General features: G+C 48.1%; 6 annotated features.

The window, feature by feature from the left end:
- Positions 2378 to 2945: an enhancer, noted in NCBI's record as "H3K27ac-H3K4me1 hESC enhancer chr1:25829553-25830120 (GRCh37/hg19 assembly coordinates)". NCBI's record gives its function as "activates a minimal SCP1, AML or CMV promoter by ChIP-STARR-seq in naive H9 embryonic stem cells {active_cell/tissue: H9 hESC(naive)}" and the evidence as "EXISTENCE:reporter gene assay evidence [ECO:0000049][PMID:30033119]".
- Positions 2946 to 3511: an enhancer, noted in NCBI's record as "H3K27ac-H3K4me1 hESC enhancer chr1:25830121-25830686 (GRCh37/hg19 assembly coordinates)". NCBI's record gives its function as "activates a minimal SCP1, AML or CMV promoter by ChIP-STARR-seq in naive H9 embryonic stem cells {active_cell/tissue: H9 hESC(naive)}" and the evidence as "EXISTENCE:reporter gene assay evidence [ECO:0000049][PMID:30033119]".
- Positions 5817 to 6726: an enhancer, noted in NCBI's record as "NANOG-H3K27ac-H3K4me1 hESC enhancer chr1:25832992-25833901 (GRCh37/hg19 assembly coordinates)". NCBI's record gives its function as "activates a minimal SCP1, AML or CMV promoter by ChIP-STARR-seq in naive H9 embryonic stem cells {active_cell/tissue: H9 hESC(naive)}" and the evidence as "EXISTENCE:reporter gene assay evidence [ECO:0000049][PMID:30033119]".
- Positions 13140 to 13340: a silencer, noted in NCBI's record as "peak128 fragment used in MPRA reporter construct". NCBI's record gives its function as "represses an SCP1 promoter by STARR-seq MPRAs in K562 erythroleukemia cells {active_cell/tissue: K562}" and the evidence as "EXISTENCE:reporter gene assay evidence [ECO:0000049][PMID:32103011]".
- Positions 17169 to 17816: an enhancer, noted in NCBI's record as "H3K27ac-H3K4me1 hESC enhancer chr1:25844344-25844991 (GRCh37/hg19 assembly coordinates)". NCBI's record gives its function as "activates a minimal SCP1, AML or CMV promoter by ChIP-STARR-seq in naive H9 embryonic stem cells {active_cell/tissue: H9 hESC(naive)}" and the evidence as "EXISTENCE:reporter gene assay evidence [ECO:0000049][PMID:30033119]".
- Positions 17985 to 18579: an enhancer, noted in NCBI's record as "H3K4me1 hESC enhancer chr1:25845160-25845754 (GRCh37/hg19 assembly coordinates)". NCBI's record gives its function as "activates a minimal SCP1, AML or CMV promoter by ChIP-STARR-seq in naive H9 embryonic stem cells {active_cell/tissue: H9 hESC(naive)}" and the evidence as "EXISTENCE:reporter gene assay evidence [ECO:0000049][PMID:30033119]".

Raw genomic sequence — 25558 nt, forward strand, 5'->3', positions numbered from 1 at the left:
CTTGTTTTTAGAGGCTTTGTCTGTTTTCATCTTCTGAGAAGCCAACTGCCTCCCTTGGCCATTGTTACAATTGATCTTGGCTCTAGTTTTGGAAAATTCTGCTCTTGGCACCTCACCCTCTGTCCTTATTGCTAGATAGCCTTTCTGAGTCTTGGCCATCAAGTCTGTTGCAGACACTCCACACTTAATATCATGAGCAGAATTCCCCAGGGGGAACATGTTGGCTTGCCTTGGCTTTCGCCTTTGCCTTCCCTGAAGGAATGTGTCTGCCTACAGAACTCTCATTGGCACTTTCTTTTCCACCAAGGAAATCTCCAGTTGTTGTCTTTGTTATTTTAGGCCCATGATAAAGCAGCAATTAACTATGAAAATCAAAAGGCTATAATCATGATGCACTAATGGGGACAGACTAGGAGAGAGAGAAAACTCAGATCTTCAAGTTTCATTGCTTCTTTTTCTTTTTTTTTTTTTTGAGATGGAGTCTCACACCATCATAAAGCAGCTCCACATCTCAGTACATAATTTATTACATGCTATAAAGCAGTGTTTGCCATTCTAGATGGTTAAATATTTAGAGGACGAGTGGGCTGAGTGTGTTTTGACTGGCCGAATAACCTCTCTCTATTGACACATCTCCCAACTTTACATAAGGAAATAGCTGTCTATGTGGCAATCTTTCCAAGAGATCCTATGGAATGAGAATGAACAACTCCTCATGACTCCCAGCCTGCAGGAAGGGCATAATCCTTTTTCCTGCCATCCCTCTCCCCTGCCTGTGTTAATCTGGGCTGTGAAGAGCCACCTGGGAGGGCTGAACATTTCTGACAGCTGCCCTCACTGCTGCTTTTGAAATTCACACCACAGCAGAGAACTAAAGAGGTAAACCAGAAGCCTACCCCCAAGCCACTGGCCAGAGTAGCTAGGCCTGTTTAGATTAAAGGGCCTCTGAGCCCCATAAATGCCTGGCTATATATGACTCTCAAAGACACTTACTGCTGAGCTGGCCTCTTCCCAGGCCTCACAGGACTTGCCCAAAGGCATCCCCCTCATCCTTCATGCAGAGCCCTAGGGCCCAGCCAAGCCCTCCAGACAGGGATGGGAGTCAACTCCCAGCTTTGCCTCCACAGGCTCTGTGATTGCCCTTAACCTCTCTAGGGTGCCGTTTCCTCACCTGACAGAGTTGCTATGGAGACTGGGTGACATGATGCAAAAGGGTACCCTGAAAACCATCTACAGCGCCCCCAGGTGGAAGCGCAGACCTGCCGCAAGGAATCATGAGGAGGGCAGGACCTGGCTAAGAATTCCTGCTCTTGGGGCTGCTGCATCCTTAACAGCCTGACTCCTAAACTCGTGACACTCAAAAACATGGTCTGCAACTGCAGCCCAGCAGCACCGGTGTCCTATGTGAGCTTGCATCGGGCTCTTGCCCAGACCCATCTGAATCTGCATTTTACAAGATGTGAATGGGTAATTCAGTTGCATATTATTTTAGAAGCCCCATCCTGAGCTGACTTTCCTAACATGAAGACTCTAAACATTGTCACCCTCTCTCTTCTAGTCCAGAAAAAAGCTGATACACAGGTTTTGAAAATTTAGAATTAAAAATTTGGGCTGGGCGTGGTGGCTCACGCCTGTAATCCCAGCACTTTGAGAGGCCAAGGTGGGCAGATCACGAGGTCAGGAGTTCGAGACCAGCCTAGCCAACATGGTGAAACCCTGTCTCCACTAAAAATATAAAAATTAGCTGGGCATGGTGGTGGGTGCCTGTAATCCCAGATACTCGGGAGGCTGAGGCAGGAGAATCGCTTGAAACCAGAAGGCAGGTTGCAGTGAGCCAAGATCACGCCACTGCACTCCAGCCTGGGCAACAAGAGGAAGACTCTGTCTCAAAAAAAAAAAAAAAGAGTTTAATGATGAGAGGCCATGCAGAAGATGAACTCTAAGCCTTACTCCTTTTTACTTATTTTGTTTATTACGTTTCCTCACCATTAGAATGTAAGCTCTATGAGGGCAAAGATTTTTGTTTATTTACTGCTGTAACCCAAAACCTAGAACAATGACTGCCACATAGTAGGTATTCAGTAAATACTTATTGAGTGATTAAGGTTTTAGATTAGACATGTAATCTGAAATACCGTGTCTTGACTGAATCAGAGCATCTCTGTAATAGTATTATTAGAATGACAAGTATAAACAGAATTGTTTCTAGAAGGAGAGGGATAAATTTGAAGTAACATATTTACTATGACATCTCCCATCTGCCTGTCTGAAACCTTGCTTTTTTGTCAGATTTTCTCTACAAACTCCTGCTTGATTTAGCCAGGTGCAAAAAGATGTCTTTACCAGCTAGATGTGCTGCGAACAATCACTTGTCTTGGAAGCCTCGCAGCAGGGGCCTGCTGGGGGCCTGTCCATGCTTCATCCCTCTGGAGCCTTAGACCAACTTCCACAAGAGCCAGTACTGCTGCGTTGTGAGTCAGTGTGGGGATTTTTTCTGTTGACAGTAATTGAATTATAAAGCATTTCCTCCTGGAAGGTATCTGGGTGATTGAATGTCTCAGAGAATTCCTTTCCATCTGACCAAGGGGGCCACACTTCTTTTCTCTCCTCCCTCCTTGAGCATATTTTAAGTGTTTCTGTTTGTTCCATCTCAACGTTTGCTTTTGGTTCCTGTCTTTGCTTGAGGTTCAAGTCTTATTTCCCCTCAGGATGGGCTTTCTAGGGTTCTGGGACCACTCTGTTGTGATACCCTGATTTTTCTCCTAAGAATCCCAGATTTAGCTTCACACACGTGGCAGGGCCTTTTAAACCCCGTCCGAAGGAGCCTGGACCGGTTGCTCTGAGAGAGGTCCATTCTGCCCGCTTCCCAGCTCTGCAGCCTTCGGGTTGAGAGGGAGGTGCAGGTGAGTGTGGGCAGGGACCTCCATGAGCCACGTTTGGCCTGGCACCAGCATATCCTGGATCCTGTTCTTCGCCGTTCCCTTCCCTGTCCTCCTCTGCACGGAGGACAGGGTTTTGCTCCTGGAGCCCTAGGCCGTGTTGGCACATTTCTCCAGTACCAGGCCCATACTTCCTTAGAACAATCATTCTCAAACTTGTTCACCAGAACAGCCTGAAGTCACCTGCGAAAACACAGATTACTGGGTCCCACCCCAGAGTTTCTCATTCATGAGGTCTGGGGGTGGGCCTGAAAAACTGCATTTCTAACACATTCCCAAGTGAGGCTGGGCCCCACCTTGAGAACCACTGGCTTGAGCGTGAGGGCTGACACAGCCCTGCCCAAAGCCACCCCCCAGCTGCCACCAGAGGGCACATGCAACCTGAGCCAGAGGTCTTGTTTCACCTCCAGCTGCCAGCTCCCCGCCTGCCACCCAGCAGAGGTTCTTTCCAAAAGATTTCTTTCTAGTTGTAATTTTTGTTATTATGTATTAGGAAGAAATGCAGATCTAAAAAATAAGGTGGGTTCTCAGAGTCTGTCTCTGACAAATATTAAAGGTCAGATGGATCAGCCTTTTGAAAGTGTTGAATGTCCTGACTTTTAAGAAATGGAACAGGCTGGGTAGGGTGGCTCACGCCTGTAATCCCAGCACTCTGGGAGGCTGAGGTGGACCAATCGCTTGAGCTCAGGAGTTCAAGACCAGCCTGGGCAACATGGGGAAACCCATCTCTACTAAAAATACAAAAATTAGCTGGGTGTGGTAGTGTGCCTATAGTCGCACCTATCTGGGGGACTGAGGTGGGAGGATCATTTGAACCTGGGAGGTCAAGGCTGCAGTGAGCTGAGACCACACCACTGCATTCCAGACTGGGTGACAAAGTGAGACTCTGTCTCAAAAAAAAAAAAAAAAAAAAAAAAGGAAAAAAGCAATGGAACAAATGGTTCCCACTGGAGGCTTCCAGGGCTTCCATCACACTGAAGTGGGGACTTCCTTTCAGAACATCGTAGAATCTTTGTGTATTCAGAACCCAAAAGGCAGTTAAGATGATAGGTGATTTTCATTTTCTTCTTTATACTTTACTGTATATTCCAAATTATCTAAAATTCATATAACAAAAAAATGATTTTTAAAACACATTTTAAATGTGACTAAAAGCCAAAACAACAACTCCAAAATAATAAAAACCAACCCAAAGAGGAACTTGGAGTGAGCAGCGTGGGGTGAGGAGAAAGCCCCCAGCTGGCACTTGGCCCCTCAGTTGGTCCTGCTGAGGTATCTGCCTAGGCGTAGGGGTCTAGTGGGATCACAGTTGGCCGAGTGCTCAAGAAAGGGATTTAGGACCGAGGAATAGATGGTTACCTGTGAGGACTCGGCCTGTCATCTGTGTAAGTCATGTGTTGCAGAAGCCCTGAGATGCCAGAACTTGAGATTTTTCAACCAAAAACAAAAGGAATCTGGATAATGTGAAATCTCCCAATTTTTAAATGTTAGCTCAAATGTATTATCTGCAGATCAAACAAAATATGTCTGGAAGCTGCTAAATAGGAACCTAAGGCTGTAAAGTGCCTACGTTTTCCTGTTTCTGGCTTTGCTCCCAGTCCCTTGGCCTCTCCACGCACTGCAGAGTTCAGGAGAAGTGGGGCAGTGGGTCTCAACCCTGGCTGCTCATTAGAGTCACCTGGGGAGCTCTTAAAAATGCCCATGGCCAGGGCCCACCCTGAGAGCGCCTGATTTAACTGGGCTGGGGAGGAACCCGGGCTTTGTTTGTTTGAATTCCCCAGAGGTTTCTAATATGCAGTCAGGGTTGAGAAACTGGGAACTAGAGGGGAGTAAGAGGAAGCCTCCATCCTGCTGGGGCCTGGGACCTCAGAGGATGCATGCAGGTGTCTGGGGGCTGGGGCTGGGGCTAGGACTTCAAATGTTTTTAGCTGGCCAAGTGGAGATATGAGCAAAGTTGGTCTCTGCTGTCTTCCCACCTCCCCTGTGGAGACCCTCGTGTCTCTTCTTCTGGCCCCTGGGCTTCCTTCCAGGCCCTTGTCCTGGATTCCCCTTGTCAACCACATTTATCGCACTGTCTGCAAATATAAATTGTTAGCCCTCTCGTTTCCAAAAAGGAATTCTGCTAGCATCACCCCAATTTGTGGTTACTATGTGTCAGCTTATGAGGGTTTTTTAAATTATTATTATTGCAAGCCACAGAAGCTGACTGCGGCCAGTATAAGCCCAAAGAGGAACTGAATGAAAAGAGACGGGGCATGCACATATGGGGCTGTCGAGAGGGCTGAAGAGGCCATATGGGAAAGACAGGAGCCAGCCAGCATGGGCAGTTTGGAGGCAGGAGCTGCTCAGCAGGGCCCGTGGCTGAGTGAGTCCATGTCCCAGCTTCTCAAGTCAAAGTCGGGGGATGGTGGTAGATGTGTGCTACTGCTCCCAATTATCCACTCCATCCCTGCAGCGAGGTTGATCCATCCCACTCTACTCAGCGTCCAAGTTGGCCATATAACTTGCATTGGTCAATGGAATGTGAGTGGGCATCACGTGTGCCAGGTGTGGGCAGCCTGAAATGCACCTGAGTGCTTTACATCAGCCTCTTGCTCCTCTCTGCGGGAGAACAGCATCTCCCAGAGAGGGGCCACAGCTGGGTGAGAGGTGAGCCATGTCAAAGCCCGCCCTCAGACGTGGGAGCAAAAAATATGTGTTACTGGTCTTAAGTCACTGAGATTCGGGGGCTGTTTGTTACCAGAGCAAAAACTGATATAGACAAAGAGTCCAAACTTGAGTCATATGTCCTCCCCTTGGCTGAATCTTGGGCTGGAGAACACTAGCTGAGGGAAGGAGATTCAGGGCCCTTTTGCGGTCTGAATGTTTGTGTACCCTTAAAATCCTTATGTTGAAATCCTCACCTGCAAGGCCTTTTGGGGGGTGATTAGGTCATGAGGGTGGCTCTATGAAAGAGGCCCAGGAGGAAAAAGGAAAGATGGCCGAATAGGAACAGCTCCGGTCTACAGCTCCCAGCGTGAGCGACGCAGAAGACGGGTGATTTCTGCATTTCCATCTGAGGTACCGGGTTCATCTCACTAGGGAGTGCCAGGCAGTGGGCGCGGGTCAGTGGGTGCGTGCACCGTGCGCAAGCCGAAGCAGGGCGAGGCATTGCCTCACTTGGGAAGCGCAAGGGGTCAGGGAGTTCCCTTTCTGAGTCAAAGAAAGGGCTGACGGACACACCTGGAAAATCGGGTCACTCCCACCTGAATATTGCGCTTTTCGGACCGGCTTAAAAAACTGCGCACCACGAGATTATATCCCGCACCTGGCTCGGAGGGTCCTACGCCCACGGAGTCTCGCTGATTGCTAGCACAGCAGTCTGAGATCAAACTGCAAGGCGGCAGCGAGGCTGGGGGAGGGGCGCCCACCATTGCCCAGGCTCACTTAGGTAAACAAAGCAGCCGGGAAGCTCGAACTGGGTGGAGCTCACCACAGCTCAAGGAGGCCTGCCTGCCTCTGTAGGCTCCACCTCTGGGGGCAGGGCACAAACAAAAAGACAGCAGTAACCTCTGCAGACTTACATGTCCCTGTCTGACAGCTTTGAAGAGAGCAGTGGTTCTCCCAGCACGCAGCGGGAGATCTGAGAACGGGCAGACTGCCTCTTCAAGTGGGTCCCTGACCCCTGATCCCCGAGCAGCCTAACTGGGAGGCAACCCCCAGCAGGGGCACACTGACACCTCACACGGCAGGGTATTCCAACAGACCTGCAGCTAAGGGTCCTGTCTGTTAGAAGGAAAACTAACAAACAGAAAGGACATCCACACCAAAAACCCATCTGTACATCACCATCATCAAAGACCAAAAGTAGATAAAACCACAAAGATGGGGAAAAAGAGAACAGAAAAACTGGAAACTCTAAAACGCAGAGCGCCTCTCCTCCTCCAAAGGAACGCAGTTCCTCACCAGCAACGGAACAAAGCTGGATGGAGAATGACTTTGACGAGCTGAGAGAAGAAGGCTTCAGACGATCAAATTACTCTGAGCTACGGGAGGACATTCAAACCAAAGGCAAAGAAGTTGAAAACTTTGAAAAAAATTTAGATGAATGTATAACTAGAATAACCAATACAGAGAAGTGCTTAAAGGAGCTGATGGAGCTGAAAACCAAGGCTCGAGAACTACGTGAAGAATGCACAAGCCTCAGGAGCCGATGCAATCAACTGGAAGAAAGGGTATCAGCAACGGAAGATGAAATAAATGAAATGAAGCGAGAAGGGAAGTTTAGAGAAAAAAGAATAAAAAGAAATGAGCAAAGCCTCCAAGAAATATGGGACTATGTGAAAAGACCAAATCTACGTCTGATTGGTGTACCTGAAAGTGATGGGGAGAATGGAACCAAGTTGGAAAACACTCTGCAGGATATTATCCAGGAGAACTTCCCCAATCTAGCAAGGCAGGCCAACGTTCAGATTCAGGAAATACAGAGAACGCCACAGAGATACTCCTCGAGAAGAGCAACTCCAAGACACATAATTGTCAGATTCACCAAATTGAAATGAAGGAAAAAATGTTAAGGGCAGCCAGAGAGAAAGGTCGGGTTACCCTCAAAGGGAAGCCCATCAGACTAACAGCGGATCTCTCGGCAGAAACACTACAAGCCAGAAGAGAGTGGGGGCCAATATTCAACATTCTTAAAGAAAAGAATTTTCAACCCAGAATTTCATATCCAGCCAAACTAGGCTTCATAAGTGAAGGAGAAATAAAATACTTTACAGACAAGCAAATGCTGTGAGATTTTGTCACCACCAGGCCTGCCCTAAAAGAGCTCCTGAAGGAAGCGCTAAACATGGAAAGGAACAACCAGTACCAGCCGTTGCAAAATCATGCCAAAATATAAAGACCATCGAGACTAGGAAGAAACTGCATCAACTAATGAGCAAAATCACCAGCTAACATCATAATGACAGGATCAAATTCACACATAACAATATTAACTTTAAATGTAAATGGACTAAATGCTCCAATTAAAAGACACAGACTGGCAAATTGGATAAAGAGTCAAGACCCATCAGTGTGCTGTATTCAGGAAACCCATCTCACGTGCAGAGACACACATAGGCTCAAAATAAAGGGATGGAGGAAGATCTACCAAGCAAATGGAAAACAAAAAAAGGCAGGGGTTGCAATCCTAGTCTCTGATAAAACAGACTTTAAACCAACAAAGATCAAAAGAGACAAAGAAGGCCATTACATAATGGTAAAGGGATCAATTCAACAAGAAGAGCTAACTATCCTAAATATATATGCACCCAATACAGGAGCACCCAGATTCATAAAGCAAGTCCTGAGTGACCATTACATAATGGTAAAGGGATCAATTCAACAAGAAGAGCTAACTATCCTAAATATATATGCACCCAATACAGGAGCACCCAGATTCATAAAGCAAGTCCTGAGTGACCTACAAAGAGACTTAGACTCCCACACATTAATAATGGGAGACTTTAACACCCCACTGTCAACATTAGACAGATCAACGAGACAGAAAGTCAACAAGGATACCCAGGAATTGAACTCAGCTCTGCACCAAGCGGACCTAATAGACATCTACAGAACTCTCCACCCCAAATCAACAGAATATACATTTTTTTCAGCACCACACCACACCTATTCCAAAATTGACCACATACTTGGAAGTAAAGCTCTCCTCAGCAAATGTAAAAGAACAGAGATTATAACAAACTATCTCTCAGACCACAGTGCAATCAAACTAGAACTCAGGATTAAGAATCTCACTCAAAACTGCTCAACTACATGGAAACTGAACAACCTGCTCCTGAATGACTACTGGATACATAATGAAATGAAGGCAGAAATAAAGATGTTCTTTGAAACCAACGAGAACAAAGACACAACATACCAGAATCTCTGGGACACACTCAAAGCAGTGTGTAGAGGGAAATTTATAGCACTAAATGCCCACAAGAGAAAGCAGGAAAGATCCAAAATTGACACCCTAACATCACAATTAAAAGAACTAGAAAAGCAAGAGCAAACACATTCAAAAGCTAGCAGAAGGCAAGAAATAACTAAAATCAGAGCAGAACTGAAGGAAATAGAGACACAAAAAACCCTTCAAAAAATTAATGAATCCAGGAGCTGGTTTTTTGAAAGGATCAACAAAATTGATAGACCACTAGCAAGACTAATAAAGAAAAAAAGGGAGAAGAATCAAATAGACACAATAAAAAATGATAAAGGGGATATCACCACTGATCCCACAGAAATACAAACTACCATCAGAGAATACTACAAACGCCTCTACGCAAATAAACTAGAAAATCTAGAAGAAATGGATAAATTCCTCGACACATACAGTCTCCCAAGACTAAACCAGGAAGAAGTTGAATCTCTGAATAGACCAATAACAGGAGCTGAAATTGTGGCAATAATCAATAGTTTACCAACCAAAAAGAGTCCAGGACCAGATGGATTCACAGCCGAATTCTACCAGAGGTACAAGGAGGAACTGGTACCATTCCTTCTGAAACTATTCCAATCAATAGAAAAAGAGGGAATCCTCCCTAACTCATTTTATGAGGCCAGCATCATTCTGATACCAAAGCCGGGCAGAGACACAACCAAAAAAGAGAATTTTAGACCAATATCCTTGATGAACATTGATGCAAAAATCCTCAATAAAATTCTGGCAAACCGAATCCAGCAGCACATCAAAAAGCTTATCCACCATGATCAAGTGGGCTTCATCCCTGGGATGCAAGGCTGGTTCAATATACGCAAATCAATAAATGTAATCCAGCATATAAACAGAGCCAAAGACAAAAACCACATGATTATCTCAATAGATGCAGAAAAAGCCTTTGACAAAATTCAACAACCCTTCATCCTAAAAACTCTCAATAAATTAGGTATTGATGGGACGTATTTCAAAATAATAAGAGCTATCTATGACAAACCCACAGCCAATATCATACTGAATGGGCAAAAACTGGAAGCATTCCCTTTGAAAACCAGCACAAGACAGGGATGCCCTCTCTCACCACTCCTATTCAACATAGTGTTGGAAGTTCTGGCCAGGGCAATTAGGCAGGAGAAGGAAATAAAGGGTATTCAATTAGGAAAAGAGGAAGTCAAATTGTCCCTGTTTGCAGACGACATGATTGTATATCTGGAAAACCCCACTGTCTCAGCCCAAAATCTCCTTAAGCTGATAAGCAACTTCAGCAAAGTCTCAGGATACAAAATCAATGTACAAAAGTCACAAGCATTCTTATACACCAACAACAGACAAACAGAGAGCCAAATCATGAGTGAACTCCCATTCACAATTGCTTCAAAGAGAATAAAATACCTAGGAATCCAACTTACAAGGGATGTGAAGGACCTCTTCAAGGAGAACTACAAACCACTGCTCAAGGAAATAAAAGAGGATACAAACAAATGGAAGAACATTCCATGCTCATGGGTAGGAAGAATCAATATCGTGAAAATGGCCATACTGCCCAAGGTAATTTACAGATTCAATGCCATCCCCATAAAGCTACCAATGACTTTCTTCACAGAATTGGAAAAAACTACTTTAAAGTTCATATGGAACCAAAAAAGAGCCCGCATCGCCAAGTCAATCCTAAGCCAAAAGAACAAAGCTGGAGGCATCATACTACCTGACTTCAAACTATACTACAAGGCTACAGTAACCAAAACAGCATGGTACTGGTACCAAAACAGAGATATAGATCAATGGAACAGAACAGAGCCCTCAGAAATGACGCCGCATATCTACAACTATCTGATCTTTGACAAACCTGAGAAAAACAAGCAATGGGGAAAGGATTCCCTATTTAATAAATGGTGCTGGGAAAACTGGCTAGCCGTATGTAGAAAGCTGAAACTGGATCCCTTCCTTACACCTTATACAAAAATCAATTCAAGATGGATTAAAGACTTAAACGTTAGACGTAAAACCATAAAAACCCTAGAAGAAAACCTAGGCATTACCATTCAGGACATAGGCATGGGCAAGGACTTCATGTCCAAAACACCAAAAGCAATGGCAACAAAAGACAAAATTGACAAATGGGATCTAATTAAACTAAAGAGCTTCTGCACAGCAAAAGAAACTACCATCAGAGTGAACAGGCAACCTACAAAATGGGAGAAAATTTTCGCAACCTACTCATCTGACAAAGGGCTAATATCCAGAATCTACAATGAACTCAAACAAATTTACAAGAAAAAAACAAACAACCCCATCAAAAAGTGGGCGAAGGACATGAACAGACACTTCTCAAAAGAAGACATTTATGCAGCCAAAAAACAAATGAAAAAATGCTCATCATCACTGGCCATCAGAGAAATGCAAATCAAAACCACAATGAGATACCATCTCACACCAGTTAGAATGGCAATCATTAAAAAGTCAGGAAACAACAGGTGCTGGAGAGGATGTGGAGAAATAGGAACACTTTTACACTGTTGGTGGGACTGTAAACTAGTTCAACCATTATGGAAGTCAGTGTGGCGATTCTTCAGGGATCTAGAACTAGAAATACCATTTGACCCAGCCATCCCATTACTGGGTATATACCCAAAGGACTATAAATCATGCTGCTATAAAGACACATGCACACATATGTTTATTGCGGCATTATTCACAATAGCAAAGACTTGGAACCAACCCAAATGTCCAACAATGATAGACTGGATTAAGAAAATGTGGCACATATACACAATGGAATACTATGCAGCCATAAAAAATGATGAGTTCATGGCCTTTGTAGGGACATGGATGAAATTGGAAATCATCATTCTCAGTAAACTATCACAAGAACAAAAAACCAAACACCGCACATTCTCACTCATAGGTGGGAATTGAACAATGAGATCACATGGACACAGGAGGGGGAATATCACACTCTGGGGACTGTGGTGGGGTGGGGGGAGGGGGGAGGGATAGCATTGGGAGATATACCTAATGCTAGATGACGAGTTAGTGGGTGCAGCGCACCAGCATGGCACATGTATACATATGTAACTAACCTGCACAATGTGCACATGTACCCTAAAACTTAAAGTATAATAAAAATAAAATAAAATAAAATAAAATAAAAAAAAAAGAAAGAGGCCCAGGATAGCTGCCTTGCCCCTTCCACCATGTGAACAGTGAGGAGGCACCCTCACCAGACCCCAGATCTACCAATGCCTTGATCTTGGACTTCCCAGCCCCCAGAACTGTGAGAAATACATTTTAGTTGTTTAAAAGCCACTCAGTTTATGGTATCTGTTGTAGCAGCCTGAACAGACCAAGACAGGCCCCCTTGGCTTCATGGCAGGAGACAGAGCTGTGGCCCCTCCAAGGCTGCACACAGAAACTGGTAGCTTTTTAAAACATTTAATTTAACTTTTTTTGAAACAGAGTCTTGCTCTGTCACCCAGGCTGGAGTGTAGTGGTGCGATCTCAGCTCGCTGCAATATCCGCCTCCTGGTTTCAAGCGATTCTTATGCCTCAGCCTCCCAAGTAGCTGGAACTACAAGCACCCGCCAGCACACGCAGCTAATTTTTGTATTTTTAGTAGAGACGGAGTTTCACCATGTTGGCCAGGCTGGTCTTGAACTCCTGGCCTCAGGTGATCCACCCGCCTCGGCCTCCCAAAGTGCTGGGATTACAGGCGTGAGCCACCACACCTGGCCAGAAACTGGTAGCTTTTACAAAAAAGAAACCAAAGTACCACTGGGCTGGAGGGGCCAAGAACTCCACAAATGTTCACCACATCAACAGTTCCAGTGGCCAAAGCTCAAAGCAAAGAGTTTTAGCCTTTCTGCCACGAAGGCCCTTTTTATTATCTTCATCTTCCAGAAGCTCAATTTCTTAAGGATTTTGCCAACAAATAAACTAACTGTATGCATTAATTCATTACAAATATTGTATTAGTCCAGGGCGTAATTGCTCATAGAACTTCTGATTGACCAACATGGCCAGTGGAGCTGCAAAGAGAGTCAATCTTTCAAGTCACCTGTGCAGCCTTATCATGCTTTTTGAAATACCAAAAATAGCCCTAGGAGTATACACTACCACCTTCCCAGGCATCTGGGCCCCCAGGTGGGAAGCGACAACTTAATATGTTTCCTCTCCTGAGAGTGCATCATTCTAGCAGCCCACTAGAAGCCAGAAATGTCCTCAAGAGCCAAAGGAATTGGCCCAGCGGGGCGCTTCAGGCATAGCGGCAGGCCTTGCTGCAAATCCTGTGGTTAAGGCTGCTGTGCAGACTGACTGGCCCTGACTTCAGTAAACTGAGTTCCTTGTGAGAGCAGAGCAGGTGTGATGTGAACCCCCCAGGATGCTTTGTCAGGTGGACAGAGCTTGGGCCAAATGCCTCCCTTTCCTCATCTGCCAAGTGGAGATGATGACATCCCAAAGGTCACAGGCTTTACTGTAAGAACTCAGTGAATTGGTACCTGCCAGGCACTGGGCTGGTTAGTACTTCACCTACCACTTCATTCATCCTGCCTGAGTCTTTTAGGAGGAACAGACAAGGAGTGGGCTGGGGAGCTTCTTGAAAGGATGAAATGAGCAAATGCATGCAAATCTCTATGTGTATAAAATGGTGTTTTGTGCACGTGTCTGTCTGCATTCACCCCTCCCCCAGCTGACTTCACCCCTCATCCCAGGTGGCATGGCGTACACTGTTTCTTTCCTGATGACTCCACATTCATAATCTCCAGCTTTGATCTCTCACCTCCTGACGTTTCCACTCACAGCTCATGGGCGTCTCAGGTGCAGTATGTTTTTTGTTTGTTTGTTTGTTTTTGAGACGGAGTCTTGCTCTGTTGCCCAGGCTGGAGTGCAGTGGCGCGATCTCAGCTCACTGCAAGCTCCGCCTCCCGGGTTCACACCATTCTCCTGCCTCAGCCTCCTGAGTAGCTGGGACTACAGGTGCCCACCACCACGCCCAGCTAATTCTTTGTATTTTTTAGTAGAGACGGGGTTTCACCGTGTTAGCCAGGATGGTCTCAATCTCCTGACCTTGTGATCCGTCCGCCTCAGCCTCCCAAAGTGCTGGGATTACAGGTGTGAGCCACCGCACCAGGCCAGGTGCAGTATGTTTAAACCCATTCCTCATTTCCCCTCATCCTCCTCGTCTCATTTCATGTCAACTCCATCCTTCCAGTTGCTCAGACTGTCCTTGGGTTGTCTTTTACTCTTCTCTTTCTCTCACACCCCACATCTGACCTGTCAGCACATGGTCAGCTCCACCTACAAAATGTTTCCAGAACTTGCCCGGTTCTCACCTCCTCCATGGCTTCCGTCCTGGTCTTGTGCACCATCCTCTTGCCTGGACTTCCGCAGGAGCCTCCTCACTGTCCCGCTTCAGTCCTGGCCCCACACAGCTTCAACAAAGCCACCAGAGGAAGCTGTTGGAATACAAGTCAGATCGTGTCACTCCTGTGCTTAAAGGCCTCCAGTGGTTCCACACCCAAAGGACAGGGTCCTGAGAATGTCCCAGCAGCCTGAACGCAGTCCATTCTCCACCTGCCTCTCCAACCTCCTTCCTCCCACTCTCCCTCGTGCCTCTTGCTGATTCCGTCAGGCACGCTTCTGCCCCAGGGACTTTGCACTTGCTGCCTCCCCACTTTGGATAAACATTTTATTTTAGAATAATTGTAGATTTACGGAAAATTTGAGAAGATAGTACAAAGAGTTCTTATAAACCCCACACCTGGTTTCTCCTATTCCTGACATCTTACATTAAAGGTACATTTGGTACAATTCATGAACCAATATTGATATATTGTTGGGAACTAGAGTCCATACTTAATTCAGATTTCCTTAGTTTGTATCTAATAGCCTTCTGCTCCAGGATCCCATCCAGGATGCCACATTCCATTTAGTTGTCATGTTTCCTTAGGTTCCCTTTAGCTGTGACAGTTCTGTTCCCTCTTTTTAGAATGCCTCACTCATTCATTCACCCCTTATGATCGGCACTCGAATGTTACCATCTCAGCTAATCAGACAGTCTCTATCCCTCTTCTCTGCTTTAGTCTTCTCAGTATTTGGCACTATCATATTTTTATTCTATTTAATTTATATTATTTGTTATCACCATCTATCGTATTTTTAATTTTTACTTTCTTCTTTTTTTTTTTTCCTCAGGCTGGAGTGCAGTGGCACGATCTTGGCCCACTGCAGCCTCTGCCTCCTGGGTTCAAGCAATTCTCCTGCCTCAGCCTCCTGAGTAGCTGGGATTACAGGTGCGCACCACCACGCCTGGCTAATTTTTTTCTTCTTCTTCTTTTTTTTTTTTTTTATTAGAGATGGGGTTTCGCCATGTGTGCCAGGCTGATCTGGAACTCCTGACCTCAGGTGATCCACCTGCTTCGGCCTCCCAAAGTGCTGGGATTACAGGCGTGAGCCACCACTCCCTGCTATTTTTACTTTCTTACTTTGTGGTTTGTCTCCCCTGACAGAAATGTCAGCTTCATGAGGGCAGGGGTTTTTATCTCTTTTCACTGCTGTATCCCTGGCACTTGGAATCATGCCTGGCACATAGTAGGTGCTCAATAAATGTTTGCTGAATGAGGGAAAGAGCACTAGAATCTGACTGGCAGCCTCCGGATCCTCTTTCCATCCGTAGTCTGCACTCCTGCCTCTCTTCCTCCTCAGAGCCTGCCCAGTCCTGAAGACACCAATAAGAGAAAAGCTTTCAAAGCTCCTCCCTCATGCCAGACCCCACGTGCCCTTCTCATTACTCTTACAGCAATCCTGGGGGGTTGGGAGAGTTACCTTGACCTCACAGATGAGGAAACTGAGGCTCAGAGAGGCAGGGAACATTTCCCAGGGTCACATAGGCAGGAAGTGGAGAAGCTGGGATTTAAACTCAGGCTGGTGTGCTCCAGGGCCTGGGTGCTTCAATCACAAGATTGTCCTACAAGTCCCCAAGACTGGGTGAGGGTGTCTAGGAAGTCAGGACCCCCTGGATGTCACCCCCTCCCAATGTGCTGTATTATCTTGTGGGCAGGAAACACTGAGGCTCTGAGGTAGGGGCTGAAGGAGCTATGACAAAGAGGTCACTCTGGGGAGTCCCTAATGCTACCCTTGAATAGCCTCTTCCCCCCACTGCACCCCAGTTTTTGCTCCTGATGTTGGCCACGCAGCTGCCCCATTCCGTTAGAGTGCTGTCTCCACAGCTGCTGACACCTGTCTTCCCCAGCTGTCCAGGAAGGCATCTGAACCTGAGTGACCACTTGCAGCTGCCATGACCAACACCCAACACCCAACACCCACTCTGGGAGGCCTCACCCTCCAAGGCTTGTACCAGGGCCTTATGTGGCTGACACTCAGCCTGGCTGTAAGGAAGGGGTCTCTGTCCAGCTCTGTCCCCGTGGCCTGGAAGCTCTCTGGAGGAGACCCTGAATCCCAATCTTTCCCTGCCACCTCCACCTTCTCTTCTGTACCCCAAGCTGAGATGGTATCACCAAGGGTTAGGGTTAGGGTTAGGATCTTTTGGTTGCAAGCAACAGAAAACCAAATCAAATGGGATTTAAGCAAAGGAAGTTAATTGGCTCATATCACTGAAAACTCCAGAGGGTACAGCTGGCTTCAGGAAGGGTGGACAAAGGGGCTCAGGTGTCACCATCAGACCTGTTTTCTCCCCGGTCTTGCCTCAGCTATGTCTCCTTTGAGTGTTGGCTTCATTGTCACTCTCTACCTGGTGGCAAGAAGGTACTGGCAGCCTCTAGTTCTACAGCCAGGTTCCCTCCAATGGTAAACAAGCAAAAGTCCTAAGAGCCACTCAGACTGACTCTGCCTGGCTCTGGCCACCCCTGAACCAGTCACTGTGGAACATGACACAGACTATGGCTGGGACTGGACTTGGGCACCCTATACCCAAGAAAAAACTGGGACACTCTTACCGCAATGGTAAGCAGGTGCTGGACACGAAAAACAGGAGATGCTGCTGACACCTGGGGGAGGCCTGTCCCCACCCACTCAGAGACACGCCCCCTGCCACCGATCCAGGGAAGTGCGCAGCAGGTCAGCCTTTGGCTGCCGTCAGTCGGCCAGTCTCCCACATCTCTGGGACTCCTCTTGCCACGTCGCAGCTGGGAGAGGCCTAGGGAGAGGGGCTGTGTGCACGGATTGGCAGTGGGAGAGAGATGTAGGCCAATCAGAATATCACGCGGGTTGGAAAGGGGGCTACTGTGCGCGAGGTGCCTTCTCGTGCCCTGCCTCAGTGGGACCCTCACCTTAGCTCCGTGCAGGTGAGGAGGCTGGGCCTGGGCCAAGCTCTCACAGCTACAGGGTGCTGGGTGGAAGGGGGCCTCCTGCACTCGGAGCTCTTGGCTTGTCTCCACCCAGCAGCTCCCTTGAGGAAGGTGGGGAAGGTCGCAGCTTTGTGCAAAGGGAGCGAGTACACAATGTGGCCGCCTCCTCTTTTCCATCCCATCACCTCTCATTTCACCAACCTGCCTGAGGCTGCAATCAACACTCCCCGCGTGTGGGGGCGGAGCCAACCCACGAGGCCATGCTTCAGGCCCCTGATTGGTTCAGGAGTAGCGCTTGACCTAATGAGGCGCTACCAATGGGATGCAAAGAGACGTTCCCTGGCCTTCTGCCAGAGCGGTTTCCCTGTTCTCCCAACAAACAAACATACCTGGACCACGTGGCGCGAGGATATTAAGTTTAAGATGGTGGCAGCAGTTTTTGAGACCTTGCAGAGAGAGCTGCTGAAAGCTGCTGGGGGCGCAGCCTCTCAGGTTGTACACGAGGTGCTGAGGTTTTTTGTTTTTAATTTATGTATTTATATGTATTTATTGAGACGGAGTCTTCCTCTGTCGCCCAGGCTGGAATGCAATGGCGCCATCTCGGCTCACTGCAACCTCCGCCTCCAGGGTTCAAGTGATTCTCCTGCCTCAGCCTCCTGAGTAGCTGGGATTACAGGCTCCCACCACCACGCCTGGCTAATTTTTGTATTTTTAGTAGAGACGTGGTTTCACCATGTCAGCCAGGCTGGTCTCAAACTCCTGACCTCACACGATTCACCTGCCTCAGCCTCCCAAAGTGCTGGGATTACAGTGTTTTTTTATTTTTATTTTGTTTATTTTTATTTTTTTAAGACAGAGTCTCAGTCTGTCTCCCAGGCTGGAGTGCAGTGGCGCGATCTCGGCTCACTGCAACCTCTGCTGCCTGGGTTCAAGCAATTCTCCTGCCTTAGCCTCCCGAGTAGCTGGGATTACAGGCACCTGCCAGCACACCCAGCTAATTTTTGTATTTTTAGTAGAGACGGGGTTTCACCATCTTGGCCAGGCTGGTCTTGAACTCCTGACCTCGTGATCCACCTGCCTCGGCCTCCCAAAGTGCTGGGATTACAGTCGTGAGCCACCGCGCCTGGCCCGTTTTTTATTTTTTTAGGGTCAGAGTCTCGCTCTGTCACCTTTCAGGCTGGAGGGTGGTGGCATGATCATAGCTCACTGTAGTCTTCAACTCCAGGGCTCAAGCCATCCACTCATCTCAGCTTCCTGAGTAGTTAGGACTACAGGCATGGACCACCACGACTGGCTAATTTTTAACTTTTTTATTTTTGGAGAGCCAGAGTTTCGCTATGTTATCCAGGCTGGTCTCATAACTCCTGAGCTCAAGTGATCCCCTTGCCTCGGCCTCCCAAAGCACTGCTAGGCGTGAGCTACCAGGCCTGGCCCAAGGCACTGAGGTTTGGACTCAGGCTGCCTCCTGCCTCAGCCAGAGTGATGAGCACTCATCCCTTCTGTGTGCTCACCCACCACAGGCCTAGCAGGGACATCTAACTGCAGTAAACTTGTCCTGAATAAATGAACAGCAGGATGAGTGATGCCTGCCCTCAACTTCCTCTCCCAAATGAGCTACTGAACTGGACTTGGGTCCCCTTCAGTTGCTCCCTCCCCCATCTCAAATGTCTCTCAGCCTCAGTCCCCTCATCTGCATAATGTGCATAATAATGGTATCCTAGAATTGTTGTGGAAACTAGAGTTAATATATGTCTGGGACATAGTAGGTACATAGCAAATGCCAATTATTATTATTATTATTATTATTGGTATTATTTCTCTCCAGGAACTTTAGTTTCCTCAGCTGTGAAATAGCAATTCATTTATTCATTCAACCAACTGCTGATCATCGCCCATGTGCCGGCCATTGTGGTTAAGACCTAGAACAGTAGCAGATGAATGAGTCATGGTCTCTGCTTGGAGGGACTAACCTTCTGGTGTGGCGGACAGTCATGTTAAAACCCAGGCCTGGCACAGTGGCTCATGCCTGTATTCCCAGCACTTTGGGAGGCTGAGGCAGGCAGATCTCTTGAGATCAGGAGTTCGAGACCAGCCTGGCCAAGATGGTGAAACCCCGTCTCTACTAAAAATACAAAAATTAGCCGGGCATGGTGGTGTGCGCCAGTAGTCTTAGCTACTTGGGAGGCTGAGGCACGAGAATCACTTGAACACGGAGGTGGAGGTTGCAATGAGCCGAGAGCCGAGATAACCCACTGCACTCCAGCCTGGGCAACAGAGCAAGACTCCGTCTCAAAAAAAAAAAAAAAAACGGAATTAAAACCCAGTGGGAGGAGAGCCACAATATATGTAAAGTCTATGTAGAAGTTAGGCAGCCTAGGGGTGGTGGGCAGCTATCTCCAGAATTGGGCTAATTGAGGGGAAGGATGAGAGCTGACTGTGTCCCTTGCTCTTTCTGGCTTCTCGAGTTGGCATGAAAACTTTTGGGGTGGGCTTCACTGGCTGTTGACTAGGACCATACAGACAGATCACCAGAAAGCCCAGGCTTAGGGTAGGTAGATGAAAGTTAAGGATCAGGGAAGAATGAACCAAACTATATCTCAGGCATTTTCCCCTAAAATGTTACCTTAGTTTTTAAGAATCAAGTGAAATAATATATAAATCTAATTCTTTAAAGACTTTTATCCTTTTGAAAAATGAGTGCAATTTATTTTAATAGAGGTGAATCTGTGATATGAGTAGCCACATTACACCGCCACCTGGTGGCAGCATACTAAAGTCACAGGTTTGTTTTCCTTTGAGACCAAGGGTACACCACAAACTCAGTTGTTTTTGGACGTGAGCAAAGATACCAAAGCCATTTTCCCCTTTCCCCTTCTCCCCAACCCTCTACTAAAACCCACTTCCATGGTTGGAGCTCCCAAGCTTCCAGCATTTTTGATTCAGCCACACCTGCTCCAGTTTCCAGCAGAGAAGCCAGCCTAGTTTTCCTCCCCATCTCCTGCCTCAGGCCCATCCTGCCCTCCAACTCTACATCAGAGCTAAACTCCCCAAGCCCTCGGCTCAGGCCCCAAGGGGAATGTGGATCAGGGAGAGAACCCTGCCCGAGGGTAAAGGTTAAGAGTGCAGATGCTACATGCACTGATGTGGGTTTGAATCTCCAGCTGACCACTTATTGGCTGTGGTCTCTCTACATCTCTAAGGCCTCTCTGAGCTTCACTTTCCCCATCTGGAAAAAGTGGGATGCAGTCTGGATTTCTTTTTCTTTTCTTTTTTTGAGATGGAATTTCACTCTTGTCACCCAGGCTAGAGTACAATCTTGGCTCACTGCAACCTCCACCACCCAGGTTCAAGCGATTCTCCTGCCTCAGCCCCCCGAGTAGCTGGAACTATAGTCATGTGCCACCACACCTGGCTAATTTTTGTGTTTTTAGTAGCGACAGGGTTTCACCACGTTGGCCAGGCTGGTCTCGAACTCCTGACCTCAGGTGTTCCACCTGCCTCGGCCTCCCAAAGTGCTGGGATTACAGCGTGAGCTACCATCCCCAGCCTGGATTTTTTTTTTTTTTTTTTTGAGACATTTTCACTCTGTCACCCAGCCTCTTTCTCCTCTGCTCAAGCAATCCTCCTGCCTCAGCCTCCCAAGTAGCTGAGACTACAGGCACATACCACCATGCCTGGCTAATTTGTTTTTTGTTTTAGAGATGGGGTCTCACTATGTTGCCCAGGCAGCTCTCCAACTCCTGGGCTCAAGAGATGCTCCTGCCTCAGCCTCCCAAAATGCTGGGATTATAGGCATGAGCCACTGCACTCAGCCCTAACAGAGATTTCTTCTTCTTTCTGTTACACGTCCTTCTACTCTTCTTTCTACAAGAACTGGCGTGGGTGGAGACCAAGAAATGCTGGGGAGGAGAGGAATGGAGAAGATCATGAGAAGCAGAATGCCCCTTCACTGCTCTTCCACCCTTTGCCGGAAATGTCTAAGGCCTGTCCTGTAGGACCTCCCTCTCAGGCTCCTCTCCCCATCCCAACCTCTCCAGTTCCCTCCGCCAAAGTTCCTCTGAGCCTGGTCCCCAACACCCTGGGTCATCTGAGAACCCACTTCGCATTGAATGGGCCATGACTGCCTCCCACCCACCCTGACCTCCCCACTCCACCCCCAGCTTGGGGCATTTGCACTGTGTTCCAGGCATTCTGGAAGGGGAGAAGTTTTGGAGCTGGGCTTCCTCAAACTTGGCAATCACTGGAGCTCTGTCCTAAAGCTTAGGAAATCAGCTTTCCACCCAATGGTGATGCTGTCTGGATCTTGTGTGGCCTTGGTCAAGTCACACACTCTCCCTTGAGCCCTGAATTCCCCATCCCGATATAGACCAGCTCTGACAGCATGGCTGCTGGGCCTGCCGAAGGGGTGGGCAGGGTGGGCAGGTCCTCTCCCCCCACCCACTTTCTCCTTGGAGAACCCCAGGATCCTGCTCAGAGGAGGAAGCAGTGCTCCCCCTAGGGAAGCGGATCCCAGGGGACTCCAGAATCCTCCCCCACACTCTGCGGGCAGCCAGCACTAAGTGCTGTATTAATTATTACCAGCCTCCCCTGGGAAGCAAATTCAAAGTGAGGTCACCATGGTAACCCAGACACTGCAATGTGACCAAATTTTTAAAGTGCTCAACATGTTCCAGGCAAATTACCTATCGATGGAAGAGAAAAGAATGAGGCTTCAATCCCACAGTTCAGTGGCCTTAGGAAGAAAAGCCCAGAAGCTCCCATGGGGCCTGGAACCTTTCTACAAAGGAGTGAGGCGGGGACAGGGATGGGAGATCAGAGCCCCACCTCGAGAGAGCAGAGCAGAGATGGAAATGACATCCAGGGTCCTGAATGATCTCTTATGGGTGGGCATGAGGCCTGGCCAGAGAGCCAGAGGGCCTGGGTCCTAGGACCAGCTCTGCCACCATTTAGCTCTGCAGCCCCAGGCCAGTCCCTTGCCCTCTCTGAGCCTCCAGTAAAGCCTCACCCAGAAGTATTTCTTAAAGGACCAGAGAGATGAACCATAGTGAGTTATTAACCTCATATATGAGGGTACGGGGTGGTAAGAAGAAGGGTGAGGGGTTTTTGCGAATCAGGCTTCTAAGGCAGAGACCTAGATTCAAATCCCACTTCTGCCATCCAGCAGCTGTGTGACCTTGGGTCAGAGACTTCACCCCTCTGAGTTGGCTTCCTTACCTGTAAGAGGGGGGCCAATCACAGTCCCACCGCCTCTGGGTGGTTATGAAGTTTAAATCAGATAATCCATGAAAAGCACTCGGCACAGCACCCTGGACAGAGTAGGGCCCCCTGTCATCATCTCTGCTGCCAATTAATAAGTGTCCCACGTGCCAGGCTCTAAGCTGAGCATGATGAACATGATCCATCACCAAATCCTCGCCACATCCTTCCCATGAGGCGGGTGCCATTGTTACTCCACTTTACAGGTGTGGAAATGGAAAGTAAAGCTAGCAGGGCGAGGCAACTCACCAAAGCACACAGATACCCATGGTGGGGGCCTGGATCCTGACCCAGGACCTTCTTCCTCCAGAACTCAGGCCCCTAACCATTCACCTGAGTGAAATGAGATGTGTATTGAGTGCCCAACACAAATGCGTGGCACATTGTTGGTACTCACTAATAGTGGCCACTCACTGGCACATTCAGGGTTCACGTCATAGCCACCGTTTTGCCCCGATCCCCGTCTTCTGGCACTTGGGAACCTGGATCTGGTGGATTCAGCACTTGCATGGCTCAGGCAGTGATGAGGGAATTAAAGGCAGGGACCCACCCCTTCTTCCTGAGCAAGGGTCCCCTCTTCAGGCCACGGCCCAAAGGTGCATCACACTAGCCTTGTCGCCTCCTCTCACTGTCCCTGGGGCACTGGCTACCCTCACACTGCGGAGACACAGATACCCAGCAGTTGTCTCTGACCTCATCCCACCCAAGCTACTCTCTGGCCTTGCGTAGCCCCCGCCCACCCTTTCCTCCTGGGTCAGCCCCACCCCTTCCACCCCACCGTAACCCCCTGGCCAGCCCAGGCAGGACTGGCTTTCCTGGGACAGAATGAGGTCAGGCCTTCTGAGTGATAGATGGTTTTAATAACCAGCCATTCTTACTACCAGCCCATTTGCTCTTCACTGTTCCAGGCCCCACGTAGGGGCTAGAGTCAGCCCAACCAGTCAGGGAGAGCATCAGAGGGGCAGGGACCACCTGCCCAGCCAGCTCAAGGTCCTCCGGGGACCCAGAGCCACTCAAAGCTGAGCCCATGGGAAATAGCCAGCCCAGTGCTAGCCCTTCTGCTTGACAGTGGGATGACCTCAGCAAATCACTGCTCTTCTCTGAGCCTCAGTTTCTCCATCTGTAAAGTGGAGTACATGGGTCCCGCTACCTGCGGGGTCACTGCAGGGACGGAGCACGTGTGGCCTCACTGTGTAAATTTCAGTAGCATTAAGAGGCAATTCTGGTTATTGATCATCTTGGCTGCTGCTGGGTTGGGGTCCTCCAAAAGCTGACCCGGAGACAAGGATGAGAGAGCAGGTAGTTCCCTTGGGCAGTGACCCCAAGAAGCAAGGTGGGAAGTGGGGAAATGAGGCAGGACCAGTTCAGGCTGTGCTGGCGAACTGGCTATGGCCAGGGACGCTGGGGCTCAACCCTGCTGGAGTCCACTGGGAACTGGACAGGATGTGCCTCGGATTGTCCTAATCAAGGGCTGAGAAAGCTGGGGCATTTATCCACCAATTCCCACCCACCTCTGGTTGAGGACTGCTCTGAAAGACAGCAGCTCCCCTGCCCTTCCGACATCCTCTGTAAGGAGGCTGGACCTGCCTCACGGCCAGAGAAGGTCCCCAGAGAGTCCCAGGGACTTGGAGTAGGAGGTGCCACGTGCACAGGAACAATGCTGAAGTGATTAAGGCAGCAATCCCCATACGTGATCCTACTTATCCTCGCATCAACCTTATGAGGGAGGTACTATTAGATCCACTTTGCAGATGAGGAACCTGAGGCGGAAAGAAGTGACATACACTTGCCCGAGGCCACACGGCTCAGAAGGAGCAGGATTAGACACGGCTCCTGGATCTTTGCTCTTTTCACTGCCTCCCACATAGGCAGGATCTCTCCTCGTGTGGGTTGCAGTCAGCAGTGTGCTGATAAATGGTTAACGAAGGGAGGAAAAAAGCCCTGACTTGGGTGTTTGCTAATCGCCGTGGTGTAAATACTCCCACCACGGCCAATTTTAAGCTACCAAAGCAATGTCACTGAACACAGAGCTGGGCAAAGATGCTCACAGTTGGCTCTCATGAGCCAGTATGAGCTGGCTCTAGCACCCCACTAGTTGGAACATATTTGATCTCAACTCCTACCCAGCATAGCCCTCTGTGCCAATCAGGCTGAATTTCTCTCTAGGGTGCAAACACATCACACCTGTTCCTACTCCCACCCCTTTGCTCCTGCTATTTCTTCCCTCTGGAATACGCTTTTCCTTCTCTCCATGTATCCAAATCTTACTCGCCTCTTTAGAGCCTGCTACGGTCCCACTTCTTCCAGACTGTATTAGTCAGGATGAGTACCACTAGCTGCTATAATGAACAGCCCCATAATCTCAGTGACTCAACATAATCTAAGTTTATTGTTCACTCATCCTGCAGTCCACTGCAAGTAGCAGGGGTGTTCTGCTCCTTGCAGCCACAGGAACCCCAATTCCTTCCCTTTGTAAATGCTACCATCATCAACACTTCACTTCCAAGCTGACCACAGAAGAGGAAGAGAGCACGGAGGATCCCACAGGAGTTTCATGGCCATGTCTGGAACTGATGCTCATCAGTTACCTACTTTATTGGTCATCAGTTACCTACTTTATGGGCCTCTCCTAACTGCAAAGGGGCCAGGAAGTGTGGTTTAGCTGGAAATGTGATTTTCTTGCAAGGGAGAGATGAAGTCATGAAAATAAACCAAAGCCAGCTTCAGTTTCTACTTCCCCAATGTCCATGGTCCAACCTGACATCTTTATCTTCTGGATTCTTTCAGAGACAATTTTCTTTGGTGTTTGACTCAGATTGCCTGGAATGGGTTACTGGGTTGGTCTCTTCTGCCTCCATAACCTCACAGAGGCTCAGCTGTTGAAGTGCCCCTAGAGGCAAGGTTCCTAATGCTTGCTTCAGGTGTGAATCTACCTGTGGATTCAAGGTTCCCAGGCCAGATTTTCAGGTCTGGGGAAGAGTCCAGTAATCATTATTGTTGTTGTTGTTGTTGTTGTTGTTTTTAGAGACAGTGTCTTGCTCTATTGTCCAGGCTGGAGTGCAGTGGCATGAACATAACTTACGGCAACCTTGAACTCC

The sequence above is a fragment of the Homo sapiens genome, chromosome 1, assembly GCF_000001405.40.
Source record: "Homo sapiens chromosome 1, GRCh38.p14 Primary Assembly".
Classification (NCBI taxonomy): domain Eukaryota; kingdom Metazoa; phylum Chordata; class Mammalia; order Primates; family Hominidae; genus Homo; species Homo sapiens.